At 42.1% G+C, this 14442-nt stretch overlaps 2 pseudogenes, 1 gene segment (V, D, J or C) and 1 further gene; all 4 read right to left on the reverse strand.

Annotated features, from left to right (window-relative positions):
* IGH (immunoglobulin heavy locus) overlaps positions 1–14442 on the reverse strand; it is a 1293408-nt gene that overhangs the window by 878562 nt on the left and 400404 nt on the right.
* IGHV3-43 (immunoglobulin heavy variable 3-43) lies at positions 5265–5722 on the reverse strand. The segment is given in 2 exon segments: positions 5265–5573; positions 5677–5722. Coding segments are annotated over 2 exon segments (355 nt in total), but the record flags the coding sequence as incomplete, so codon positions are not given.
* On the reverse strand, positions 7793–8002 carry IGHVII-43-1 (immunoglobulin heavy variable (II)-43-1 (pseudogene); annotated as a pseudogene). Its single transcript is given in 1 exon segment — positions 7793–8002. A coding segment is annotated over 1 exon segment (210 nt).
* Positions 13219–13395, reverse strand: IGHVIII-44 (immunoglobulin heavy variable (III)-44 (pseudogene); annotated as a pseudogene). Its single transcript is given in 2 exon segments — positions 13219–13250; positions 13350–13395. Coding segments are annotated over 2 exon segments (78 nt in total).

Genomic DNA, 14442 nt, shown 5'->3' on the forward strand with positions numbered 1-14442 from the left:
GTTTCTATTAGTAAATGATTAGATAAAGGAAACAGTCGTATATGTTCATACATATACATATATGTACACACACATCCCCACACATACACACACTATACATGTGTATGTACATATACACATTTAATTACTACTCAATAATAGACAAGGAATGAAATTATGTATTTTCCAGTAGCATGGATGAAACTGTAGGCCACTATCTTAAGTTAAAGAACTCAGAAGAATAAAGTTGAATACCACATGTCATATATAAGTGAGAGCTAAATAATATGTACACATGGATACAGAGTGTGGAATAAGAAATATTGGAGACTTGGAAGGTTGGGAGGGTGGGAGTGGCATGTGGGATGAGAAGTTACTTAATGGGTACAATATACACCATCCAGATGATGGCTATACTCAAAGCCCAGATTTTATCCCTCAACAATATATCCATGTAACAAAACGGCACTTTCACCCCATAAATTTATACAAATAAAAGGATAAGTGATACATATCCCAATTATCACAAACCCACTCCAGAATGTCTTATACATACACACACAGCATTACCACTACTTTATTGTAGTGTTCCATTTTTTTCACTTAAAAGAGAAAGGCAATCTCCATTGTCAGGGTAAATACACTTTGGAGAAGCTGTTATCCAGTAGGCCAGGGCAGTGCAGCTCTCCCATCAGCAACCACAAAGCTTTGTGTTTGGGTCATGTACATTCATCTACTATTGTTCTGTAGTAGTCTCTGGGCACAACATTGGCCCACACATTCTCCTCCATTCTAAGGGACTCAAAACAGAATCCACTTTTACACTAGTCATTCTCCAAATCCAGATTAACAAAAATTAGTAAAGAAGCAAAAGATAAAACTCAAAAAGAGAGAACCCATCTCACTATCCTCCCATATTTCAGTCGTTTCATGCCTTACCCTCCCTATTTCACCACCTGAGCCCCCTTCTGGGTGGGTAGAGTTTGTGAAGCTTTTATCTTTTATCACAGTGTAATTGCTAACTCTAGTGGTCATGAGCCCATCAGCCCTAAATGAAAATGGTCAAAATCTGAGGTTGGTGCAGTATCCCTCTCCCTGCCAACTCTCTCCTGGATTTTCACTTAGTTCTCACAGATGGAAATTGCATATGTAGGCTATTTCTAATCATTTCACATTTCATTATGTATTGATTGAGCCAGCTCCTTGGGAGTTGGATTTATAATTTCTAAATCCCATTTACCTCCAGAAACCGATTTCAGCTCAGCTGCTGTAATAGACTGTAGTATTCTGTCACTCCCCAGGTATCAAATTTTGCCATTCCATACCTGAACACTTACGTTTTCCATGCAATGCTTCAGCCATGTATCATCATTGAGTCAGGGTCTCTCTAGGAAATCCTTCTTCTAACACAACTGTGTTGAGAGTTCTCATCTGCCACCTGTAGGCTGAAAAATCAGTAAAAACATAGGACTCATAACTGTTCTATTCACAGGAACAGTTTATTACAGAAAAATGATACAATTTAAAATAAGTAAAGACAAAAGGCACAAGGAGTGAAGCCCTGGAGAATCCAGGCACAAGCTCTCAGGTGTCCTCTCACAGTGGAGCCTTCTACACATGTGTAATTGTTCAGCTGTGAGGTAAGATGGCTTGTGTGAAGTGTTGACAACAAGGGGAGTGCCGCTGAGCTCTCTTGTCCAGGGCTGTGTTTGGGGAATGAATCATAGACTATGGAACACCTGGGGAACTGACCACAATACTCAGACGACAGCCCTCTCCAGCAAAACAAAAGTAGACATTCACTATAAATCACTGATTAAACTTGTACCGCATGTCCCAAGGCTACAGACATCCACAGACACTGTTATCAGGTGCAATATTTTATGGACTCGGAGATCTCATCACAGTAGGTAACAGCAATAAATGAACAAAAGTTTTTTTTTTTTTTTAGTTATTTTTTAGGAATGTGCAGGGTTTGAACAATTCATACCTGCTGAGTTAACCCAGTGCTATACACAAGTCCAGATGGGATGGATTGTGGATGGCCAGGCTGAGAAGAGAGGATAGAGATGGCCAAGTTAGGACCCCAGGGAGGAGCCTGAGGGAGGGAAATCGAGAACCTCTGGAGGGGCCCATGAGTGTGCCTGATCTGTGAGTTAAACCAAAGCTGTGATATTTCCAAGGAGCCCAAGAAAATGGTGCTACAGTGAAGGGTGTGGGGAAGTGGCCGTAAAGAGGCAGTGCATGGGTGCAGGAGCGGAAGGGAGCTAAAGGGGTTAAGAACCAGGAAGCAGAGCAAGGGATCTGGGCATTCCTTAAAGAAGTAGGTTCAGAAATAAGCTGTCAAATGCCTCTAGCCTGGGCTTCCATCCATATGTCAAAGATAAATTCTAGGCATGTTTCCCATCTGACAAATACCACAGTGTGAGGAAGGAGATGGCGGCGTTGCTAGGAGAGAACACTCTGGACGTGGCAGCAGCCCATCCTTGTCCACACATGGCCCTGCCTGTCCTTTATCATCACAGCTTGGAGGTTCTCATCCTTGTCCTGTGGTGGAAAAAAACCACCCTGTTCTTGGAATCCTAAGGAGATCTCCAGACACACGTGGGTGGTAAAGTCTACCCTAAATCTGGCATTTCCAAACAAGTCTTCTATCTACTTTTCATCAATGTGTTCATGAAGCTTCAGGTTAAGTGAAATATGTCAGTCACTAAATAGTAAAAACAAATCGCCAATTTACCAATGTTGGGATGACTCCTGGCTTTCAGAAGCAAAGAATTGGACAGAGAAGCAAAACTGTTTGTGCTCAGGACTTCTGGACACCACACATGGAAATTGAAATTCACACATACACACACAGTAAAATGGATAATCGCACTTATCTTATTTTTCGAGGTTCCTTGAGCAATTTAGGAAGCACTAAAGGTAGATTTATTAAAGAAAAAATATCAAGTAAAGACACTTGTTCCAGCACAGTAAGGAAGACTTTATCCAGGGTCCTCATGGTAGGTGTCGGGATCAGGGCAATGGTGTTTTGCAGTGAGGAGAGAGATTCAGCTGAACTCCAAATGCAGAATGGAAACATGGGGATTTAAAGCCAAGCAGCAGGGTGGGGTCCGGAAGATGGAAAATTACTGAGAGGAAACATCAGGGGCACAGCAAATCTTGCTTAAACCAACCTGCCAGAATTCTTGATGTTGGGCCAGGGTGATTAGACGTCACCGAGGTATGGTGAAGGGCAAGGAAACTGATCAGATACCCAGGAAAATCAGACATGGAGGATGGGGAACTCTGGCTAAACCAACACACCAGAATTCCAGGTAAAACTGAATTTCACATGAAGTGCAGAGAGAAGGGCTGATGAGAAGTTTTAGGAGCCTCCTAACTTCTGTTGAAGCAAATGAGCTTCATCAGTTTGGGACCCATAAATGGTAGCACTTTCTGCTAACCAAACTCACAACTAAGTGAAATGAGAAAAATTTGTCACAAAAATGTACATTCAACCATTTCCTGAATTTCTGGAGATTCTGAGTGGCAGAATGAGCTGAGGTGTGATAGATCAATGGGTGTCCTAATTCTGAACCCACAATTAGTTTTAAGGAGTGTTCACTGACAAAAGAACAGCTCAAGGTTCCCACATGTACAAACACCTGACTCCATGAATCTGCAGCTGGGGGTCTCTGCAGGCTCTGAGGTTCAGAGGACAGATCCCACCTCAGATTCAGCCTCAGGTAATTATTTGCTCTTTCTGTGGGGAGGAGAGCAACAGTGTAGAAGGAGGGTCAGCTGTACTCTATTTAGGAGCTCTGTACATGGAGGAAAACAATGAAAGTAGGGATCACACATCCTCAACACACGTCACAATTCCACATGAGAAAGGCAATTCTGTGCCAGGACATTCTGCAGAATTAAGGAATAAAGCAATTGGGGCAAATGTAGGAATCACCATTGTTTACAGACTGCATGTTTGTTTCTATGTCATCCACAGAAATGAAGTAAAAGTGTATGTTCTGTATAGAACCCACAGTCTCTGGGCCCTGAGTCAGCACTTCCCTCCCTCCACCTGCAGGGAGCACAATGCACCTGACCCAGGCACCCAGGGCTGCTCTCTGTCTTCCATGCCATGGCTGGTGTTGGAGCCACGTCCTGTGCTCCACTCTCAGGAGACGAACAAGCTCTGCGCTGATCTGAGCAGAGCCACTGCTGGGAGTCACTGGGTCCCTGATGGGAACCTGTGACACGACTCTGATTCAGTGACCTTGCTGGACCTTCATAGAACAACACAGAAGTTTAGGAAAGTTCCACCCAGTCCTCCTCCCTTTCTCCTTCACTCAGGGACCGACTTCCCTCACATGCATTCAGCTACCCCAGACCCCTTCCACCACCTCTGCATTTCCTCTCAGAAGAGTGGACAGGGAAACTGTACACGAAGGAAACTGTACACGAAGCTAATCCAGTCACAGAGTTTGCTTCTCCGAAGACCAACACTAACACATATATTTTGGCAAAGCTGTTTATAATACCAGCCAGATTCTATTAATAAATATAAAATATGAACCAACCATGGAAATCATGTTTTATGTGTCTCCTTGGCTAGACCATAGTCTCAATTATTAAATCAGACACTATTCTAGGTGTTGCTCTGATGGTTTCATACAAGTGTTATTCAAGCCTGCTATCAAGTTTCTCGAGCTAGGAAGATAGTGCTAGTTAACCTTGGTGTGCCTGATTTAATTCTAGCAGACATTAATCTAGTTGTTGCTCTGATGGCTTCATACAGGTGTTATTCAAGCCTGCCATCAAGTTTCTCAAGCTAGGAAGATAGTGCTAGTTAACCTTGGTGTGTCTGATTTAATTCTAGCAGAACAAAAGACAACAAAATTTCCTGGTGGATGGCAGGTGCGCCTCTTTCCAAAAATTCCAGCCTGCCCTTCCTGATGGCCAGCCCTAGACATGCCTAGACAGAAGACACAATTGCTGTCACCAAGAAATCCCACACACTGGAGTGTCCACAATCAGCTCCCCCAAAGTCACAGGTGAGGAAGGTGACACAGGCAGTTTCAGCAGATCCAGATCACAGATCTAGACAGGGTTCCTGGGGAAACTGTTAGATGGAGAAATTGTGAAGACTCTGAAAGGAAACCAGCTCTTAACCTTCCTGAGCAACTTGTCCCAGAGTTAACCCTATGCTCAGTGTGTCTTGAGTGGCCTCTGCAGCCCAGGCCCCTCCTGTCTTCCTGCAGCAAGGTTTTTGTCTGGGCTCTCGCTGACTTCCCCTCACTGTGTATCTTTTGCACAGTAATACAAGGCGGTGTCCTCAGTTCTCAGACTGTTCATTTGCAGATACAGGGAGTTTTTGCTGTTGTCTCTGGAGATGGTGAATCGGCCCTTCACAGAGTCTGCATAGTATGTGCTACCACCATCCCAACTAATAAGAGAGACCCACTCCAGACCCTTCCCCGGAGCTTGACGGACCCAGTGCATGGTATAATCATCAAAGGTGAATCCAGAGGCTGCACAGGAGAGTCTCAGGGACCCCCCAGGCTGTACCACGACTCCCCCAGACTCCACCAGCTGCACTTCACACTGGACACCTGCAAACACAGAGACACCCTGGTCAGACACTGCCACACATATCCACTGTTTCTCTCACTCATGTTCACTCACACTCAACATCTCTATTTATCCATGAATCACCTTTTAAAATAGCAACAAGGAAAACCCAGCTCAGTCCAAACTCCATGGTGCGTTCTCTGTGTTCAGTGCTGATCACCGAATGGAAACACCTGGGAATCTCAGGGCTGGGGCTCCTCTCCCAGAGCTGCAGGGTCAGGGCTGGGCTGGTTTTCATCAGCAGAGGGAGGACCCTATTTGCATGTCTCCTACTATATAATGAGTTCTGTAACAGATGCCTCAGAGTGGGCTGTGTCCAAGAGTGGATGTGGGTGATTATACTTCATAAGTAATTAATTCTCACTAGCATTCATACTTTTACATGCACATGAAATATGTTCTTTGAGAGTCAATGTTTCCTTCATTTACAGATGTGAATGTAAACCCCCAAGTATGGAAGGACCATGTGACATAGACAAGAGCTCACATCTCATAAGAGCCAGTCTCAGTGTCCAGCCTGCATTTCTCACAATTGGATCCAACTGTTCCCAAAATTAACTCTAGGAAAGAGCTATAAATTCCCAGTGAGGTTTACAAAACACTCTTCTTATAATGATATCGTGATATTATTTGGCTGTATCTTGGTGTTTTTATAAGTAATAGAGAAAAACTAAGGGTTAATTCATTCAGGAGTTCATGACTTTTCTTGTATTATTTTTATTTCTCTCTTCATCTTTTTCTACCACATTAGACTTTTATTTATAATAGCTTTAATGAAGTAATACAGACATATAATCTTCACACAATATGTTCACCATTTGACAAACATTGACCTAATGACCATTCACAGAGAAAACAAATCAATTCGCCTCTCAATTTTCTCTTTGTCTCTCACAATTTCTCCCTCCTATACCTTCGCTTCTCTTACTATGGAGAAGTCAGTTAGTGATCTTTGTTATGTAATTTCCAATGAGTATTCACTTTGTACAGTTTATAAAACGGAATCATATGTATGTGCTTTGGCTCACTATACTCATCATATGTACTTGTGAATTGAACCATGCTGTTGATCGTATCCAACATTTACTGATTGTAGTAGTGGGTACTATCCCAATAAACGACTTTTCCACAATTTGTTTACTTATGAAGGTGCTGATTAATATTTGGATTGTTTTCAGTTTCTGTGTATTTCAAATAAAGCTGCTGCTCAGCTTAGAGGAGTACACAGCTGAGAAACATGTTCCTGATCTTACAACAACATGAACAACAGCTAAACTGGTCAAGTTGCAAATGAATCAATATTCTTTAATACATCAGGTAATTAATGTTATGGCACCCCGTGTGTTTGTCAGTGTGTGAGTGAGAAAGAAAGAAAGAGGAAGGAAAGGAGACTGAAAAAGAAAGTGATTCTACATAATTATTAATTTGTGAGGTCCTCAAATACAGGGACTTATTCCTAATGAACAGGGTCCACATAGGTTGAAGTGGTTAACTTGATGCACCCACAAGATGGCTATAGATTCATAACATAAATAATATTCTCTAAACACATGAACACCCATACACATTAGAATAGATGTGCTGGAGGGTGTTTAGTAGTGGAAATGAGAAGGTGACACTAAACTCCGTCTTCAGAGCCTTTCCCCGCCTGCTACACCTGCTCTGAGGCTGAACCTTGAGCCTGCCTGACCACTGAGCCCCACAATGGTCCTGAGCCTTCAGGCGGTGCCAAATGCCCCCTGGGTTTCCCTGCTGGTTCCTGGGTGCTGGCTTCTGTCCTCAGCACCCACTGCTGTTCTGTAAACTCCCACAGGAAGGTTTGTGTGTGGGCTCATACTGAAGTCTCTTCACTGTGTCTTTTGCTTAAAAATACTTGTTTGTGGCTGGGCACAGTGGCTTATACCTGTAATCCCAGCACTTTTGGAGGCCGAGTCGGGTGGATCAGAAGGTCAGGAGTTCAAGACCAGCCTGGCCAACATAGTGAAACCCTGTCTCTACTAAAAATACAAAAATTAGCCAGGTGTGGTGGTGAGTGCCTGCAGTCCAAGCTACTTGGAGGCTGAGGCTGGAGAATCACTTGAACCCAGGAGGTGGAGCTCGTAGTGAGCCAAGATTGATTGCCCCACTGCACTCCAGCCTGGGTGACACAAGACTCTATCAAAAACACACACACACACACCAAAACAAAACAAAAAAACAAACATGGCTGTGTGCTTGTTGCTAATGTCACTCAGCCATACGAAGAGCTGTTTTTGGACATAGATCTGGAGGTGGTGACTGGACTCTTGAGGAGTGGGTTAGAATTTGTGCTCCCTTCATGACCTGTGCACCTGACCCACTCCAGTCCCTTCCCTGGGGGCTGATGGATCCAGCTCCAGCAGGAAGCACTGGTTCTGTTGGGGAATCCAGAATTTAAACCTAAATGTTATTGTTGTTGAGTCACTAAACAAAATGTGGTGCTCATTTCTATTGTGTTGAGATACACATGACATAAAATTTACAATTTTAGCCACGATTAAGTGTACGGGTCAGTGATACTTTACACATTTGCAATGTTGTGCAAATATCACCAGTATTTGGTTTGGGAACATTTTCATCACAGAAAAGAAAACCTCAGCTCCATTAAGCGTCACTCTCCATTTCCCCTCCACTCACCCCCTGTGATCTGTCTCTAGGGATTTTCCTCCTCTGCATACTTCATGTCAATAGGACAATTCAGGATGTAGACTTCCGTGTCTCCCTCAGTTCACTCACCCAATGTTTACAAGGCCCATCCGAGTTGCAGCCTATGTCAGTGCTTCACTCCTTTTTAAAGCACCACAGCGTCTTCATCCCTGTGGGTTACAGACGCACCGCGGCGTCTTCATCCCTGTGGGTTACAGACGCACCGCGGCGTCTTCATCCCTCTGGCAGTCGATGGACACTTGAGTTGTATTCTCCATCTACTTCTGTGAGTGGTGACACTAGCTACATTTATGAGGTTTTCTGTGAAGACCATTTTCCAAAGTTGCTGTCCCATTTCAATACCAACATGCAAGCCATGACCATTCCAAATTCAGTATGTCTATACCTACAAGTGGTTATGTTTTTCTATTCATTTTTCTTTTTTGAATGCTGATTATCTTAGTGTGTGTAAGGTGGTAATTCATAGGGAACTTAATCACCAGCATAAACCAAATAACCCCATTAAAAATGGAGAAAGGACATGCACAGAAACTTCTCAAATACAAACATAGAAGTGGCCAACTAACCTATAAAAATGCTCAGCATATTCAGTCATCAGATAAGTGCGAATCAAAACCAAATGATATACTTTCTCACATATGTCAGAATTGCTATCACTGAAAGATCAGAAATTAACAGATGCAGGCAAGGCTATAGAGATAACGGACCACTTACACACTTTTGGTGAAAATATAATTTGGCCCAAGAACTGATGAAATCAATCTGGAGATTTCTCAAAGAATTTAAAACAGAGCTACCATTCCCCTCAGCAATCTCATTACTGGGTATATGTCCAAGAGAAAACCAATCATTGGAACAAAAAGACACATCAACTCACGTGTGTATCACTGTGCTATTCACAGTACCAAAGACATACAATAAAACTAAATGCCGATCAGTTACAGACTGAAAAAAGAAAACGTGGTACTTATACACAGTGGAATACCATGCAGCTGTAAAAATGAATGAAATCATGTTTTTGCAGCAACTTGGATTAAGCTGGAGGCCAAAATTCTAAGCAAACTGACAGAGACAGATGATAAGAGTCAATGGGAGATGAAATGGACAATTTGGGTGTTTCTTTGTGTAAAAATGAGAAAAGAAATCCCCTGGTTGCATGAACTCTAGAAATAGACAAGCCTGGAGATGCTGATGTCCTGACTTCCATTACATTAGGTTGTGCTTTTTCTCATTTTTAGTCAGTTAACCTTGCTTTCCTTCACTCTTGCCTAAAATAGCCACAGATAATAATCTAGAGACATTAGAATAAAAATAACATATTTGAACATTAGAACAAGTGTTAACTTTTAGATCAAAGTTAGCGTGAATTCAGTGTGACAGACAGGAGACATGGCTGAATACTAGCAGTGTGCTCACAGTAATACTATCTAAATTAGGAAAGTTTATTCACATCTTTTAGATTAGATTCCGATTGAAATCCTTGATCTAGTATCATCTCTGATGAATCATACATCAGTAACGAAACTGGAGGTTATGCACTCAATTCAGTAGTACATTCAGAATCTGTTCCTCTACCTGATGTCAAGTCAGCCCGCATGACAGAAGTTTTATTGTGGTCAACAGAGCTCATCAATAAGCCAAAGACAAGGATTAAGTACATGTTTTACAGGAGTGCCTGACTTTGGGATGCTCTTCACGCAAAGAAGTTTCTCATATCTTCTGGAACACGTAAAAATTCTCAACAAAAGAATAAATTTTAGATGCACGCCTATATTTTAGGGAACTGATTCATGTAACTTAGAAAGTAAAATCCTAAAGGAAAATGAAATGGTGTAACAACTAAAAGTATATATATTGTAGTGGGTCATTATACCAAACAGTCTTCTTTATAATATTATCTAAACACAGAAGGCATTAGAATTACTTATATAACTCAGCATCATTCCCATCCACAATCTTCTGAAAATGTTGAAGAAAATTGTCATACTTGAACTAAACTTGTCAAAACCTTAAGAAAATCTTGAACTTCCTTGGCCAAAGTTTCTCTCCCTAGCACTAGAGCATTATAGTCAAGTCCCTCAGTGAGACATCAGTCATCACCTTATGATTTGGTGGCTGGAAGGCCCATACATTTAGAGATTTTCCCCCAGAGCTCACCTCTTCCTATTACATGCACGCATGACAAAGCATTGAAAGTGATGACTGTATCTTACCCACTCCAGTCATCGACAGATTAAGCTATCATTTTCCTACATCTTTTCAATAGCCTCTAATGACATTAAAACAGGGAATGGTATTTACTGGAAGAAACATCAGGGTAGGATATTGCTCTTGAACGGCTTTGAAGGGAATCTTACCAGGTAATTTTAACCACAACACAGCAGTGAATATGCACAATGTCAATACTAGGGTTCATATTTATGAACTGTAAAACAAAAATAAAATCCTAAGTGCCCCAACTGACTAAATAGTCCATCTGTTCATCTAAGGGACTCCAGAAAAGCCTAAAAACTGAGATCCCAGCCATGACAAGATCAGACGCGCCTCTTACACTCACTCCCCTTTGCGGTTTAGACACAACAATGACCAACACTAATGTTAAAATAGAGATCAAAAGAATGACAGAACAGAATCTCTGTGGCAATAAGATGTCAAATTATAAACAAGACCTAAAGCCATGTCAGGCAAGGGTTCTGCCACTCACTCCCACACTTAAAAGGTAAACTGTCTTCTAACTGCCAATAGGTTATTCGTTTTCTCTAGCGGCTCAGTAAGCACCGGCACTGAGACAAGCACTATGAAGACAATTGCAGCCCATCCCCTGATGAACTGACCCCTGTTCCACAAGCCATAACCCCAGCTTTGATTGAACACTAGAGTGATATCAGGACCTTTCTCCTGATCAGAGACCACTCACCATGGCCTGGCTCTGGCCGTTTACAGAGGCTGCACCCTGAGTGCCTTTGTGTTTCTGCTTCTGCTATTGGCACATAGGGCCTGACTGTAATGAATTTAAATGCTAAGTCTCCACTGGTAAGTGAACAGGGGTCATACGTTACAGACATGTTTGTTCAGTATGCATGTGTGAGGACCACCTCCATGAACATCAGTAGCCCCTCCTGTAACCTGTTGATTATGTCTGTTTAGCCAAACCCTTCAGCATAAAGCTTCTGCCCAACCCCTTCTTCCTGGGAGTGCCTTTCTCTCGTCTTTACCAAAAGCTATGCTTTCCAGCATATGGGATGGCTGTAAACCTTGATAAAAATAAACTCTCACTTTCCTAAATTGTAGATTGTGTTTTTTTTTATTTAACACAACTGAAGATTAAATTCAGAAGTACATCTAATTATAAGGCTACTTTAGTGAAGAACGACAAACCGAGGATTTTCACATATACTGTAAGGGCCTGTGATATTTTGAAGCAGGAAGCTGACCTGAGACCTTCAGAATTAACTGATAACTGTGGATAATGAAAAGGCCCCACTCAGGACATTGATTCAGCACCCCTGCCTGTCTCATTCATTCTTCTCTTTCTTTTTATTATGTGCTTACAGTAATAAAATTTTTATTTTCTTTAGACCTGTTTGCTTTTCACACATAGTGGACTCTTCTCTCTCTTTTTCACTCATTTTCTTAAGCTGCTAGGGAGAATAAAGCGTCAGGTCCTATTTTTGGTGCCTCGTTGCTGACGAATTAAGGTTTATTCTTCCTCCTCCTTATCCCCTGCATGTGGTAAATCTAGTAAGAAATCACAGAAGCTCCCTTATCTGATGCCCCTGTGAGGTTTAAATCACACAATCTCCTTCTCCTGAGTAGAAACGCACCCCCAACCCCACCACCAAATCATTATAAAGCCCTGAGCCAGCCTCCTTTCCTGTCTACTGAGGAAATTCCAGTTTGAAATTTCTTGAGAGGCCTGTGCTGCTCTCAGCAGACACCTCAAAAATAGAGTTAATAAATGTTTTCATATTCACCTGGAGTGTGAGTGTGGAACCATCAGACTCGAAATCCACACTAACCATTGGTGGGGTCTCTCTTCCTTTGCCCAGTATCACCTACAATTGGAACTGTGGGCTTGGAGTCCTGACAATGACCACCACGGGGGCTTTCTTCTCTTGCACTGGATGCTAACTCCCTCTGCCCCAATGCCCAGCATGCACTTTATCCTGCCTGCTTGCTCACTGGCCCTTGGAGTTCTGTTGAGCTGGGCTGCCATGCTGAGTTAAACACCGCACCTTTTATAGATTTAGCTGATTAACTTCAGAAGCATTGACACCTTATTGACATTCAGAAACAGGAGTAAATGACTGTAGGTGACTCTGCCTTTGGTGCATATGAGAAAGTTTTTCTCTTGTTACGACAAATGTTTCTTCTTCAGACTTCACAGGAAAAAAAGGATAAGGAATCCAGAGATGTGCCACAAAGGAAACTGTTTTATGGAGAGGAAGCCACAGGGCTGACAGGAAACCAGACCTTAACACCCCTCTGCACCTGCCCTGGGGCTGGCTCTTGTGCTCAGTGGGTCCTGAGCGCCCCCAGGTGGTCCAGTGCCCACTTCAGGGAGGCTTGTTTCTAGGCTCACACTGACTTTTTTTCTAATTGTTTTCACAAAAATGGAGACAGAGTAAACGGTGAATCCATGCATCTCAGAGAACACAGAACAATAGCATAACACCCCTCGACACACACACACACATTTAGGTGAATCTTATTAAAACTGCTGAAAACCAAAGACAAATAGAAATACATGCAGACAAGTGGAGATGAGTTGAGGGGGCATTCCTTCTAAAAGAACAGGAAAGATGATGACAGCATTCTTCTGGTTAAAACCTTATAAGCAAGAGGAAAATTGATGGTGTCTGTAAAGTGTTGGAAGAAAAGCCAACCCATTATTTTGTAACCCATGGATGTTCGCTAAAAAGTGAAAAAAAAAAAAAAAAAAGACTCTACCAGCTGCACCTCATACTGCACACCTGCAAACACAGAGAAATCCTGGTCAGCAACTGCCACACATATCCACTGTTTCTCTAATATCCACTCACAAACAATATCTGTAGTTCTTCATGAATCACCTCTTAAAATAGTAACAAGGAAAGCCCAGCTCAGCCCAAACAACATGGTGAGTCCTCTGTGTTAAGTTCTGATCACCAAGTGAAAACACCTGGGAATCCTGGCACTTGAGCTCCTCTCCCAGAGCTGCAGGGTCAAGGCTGGGCTGGTTTTCATCAGCAGAGGGAGGGAACTATTTGCATGTCTCCTACTATATAGAAGTCTCTTGGGCAGGATGTCTGAGGACAGGGCAAGGCACAGAGCAGATGAAGTTTTCTAGTGGGTGGTGGGGCTTGAAGACAATGATAATATTTGGAAAAAATGTAATTTCTTAGTAAAAGATTGTGCTGTGGTAAACATTTAGCATACATTATCTTAACACACGAAAATACATTGTTAGAGGCAGATGCCCATTGGTCCTCCATTTACAGATGTGAATGTAAACCCAGAAGCATGAGGGAGCTATGAGATGTGTCCTGGAGCTCACATGTGACAAGAATGGGCTCCAGGATCGGGACCTGTGCTCCTCTCCACCGGATCCCACAGCTCCCTTAGCCAACTTTATCCCAGAGTTACGCATACCTGGTGTGGTTTGAAGAAACCCTTCTTGTAATAAAAACATTAAAAAAAACTGCTGCATTTTAGAATTACCAAAAAATAGAGATAGAGCTAAGGGTTATTCATTGTACATTCAGAAATATCTGACTTTTTATGTGATTTATCCATCTCCCTTACACCGTCCCTAAGAAATTTATACAGGTATTTATTTGTAATAGCTTGAATAATATAAAATTCTAATTAACACACAAAATGTACAATTTGGAAATTATTGATGTAACCATCACCATTATTAAGATAGAAAACAAATCAATTACCCTCAACATTTTCTCTTATTCTCTTGCAACGCCTTCCTCCCTCTTTTCTCTCACCTTTTCTCCATTCAACTCCCGACCTTCATGTCACTTCAGTTTCTATTCTGTAGAATGTATAAAAGTGTCATCATACAGGATGTAGTTTTTTTTTTTTGGCTTATTTTACTTATATGTACTCGTGAATTTAGTGCGTTTATGCGTGTATCAAACGTTCATTAATTGTAATGAACAACAGTATTCCAAT

This window comes from Homo sapiens, chromosome 14 (assembly GCF_000001405.40).
Source record: "Homo sapiens chromosome 14, GRCh38.p14 Primary Assembly".
Taxonomy (NCBI): Eukaryota; Metazoa; Chordata; class Mammalia; order Primates; family Hominidae; genus Homo; species Homo sapiens.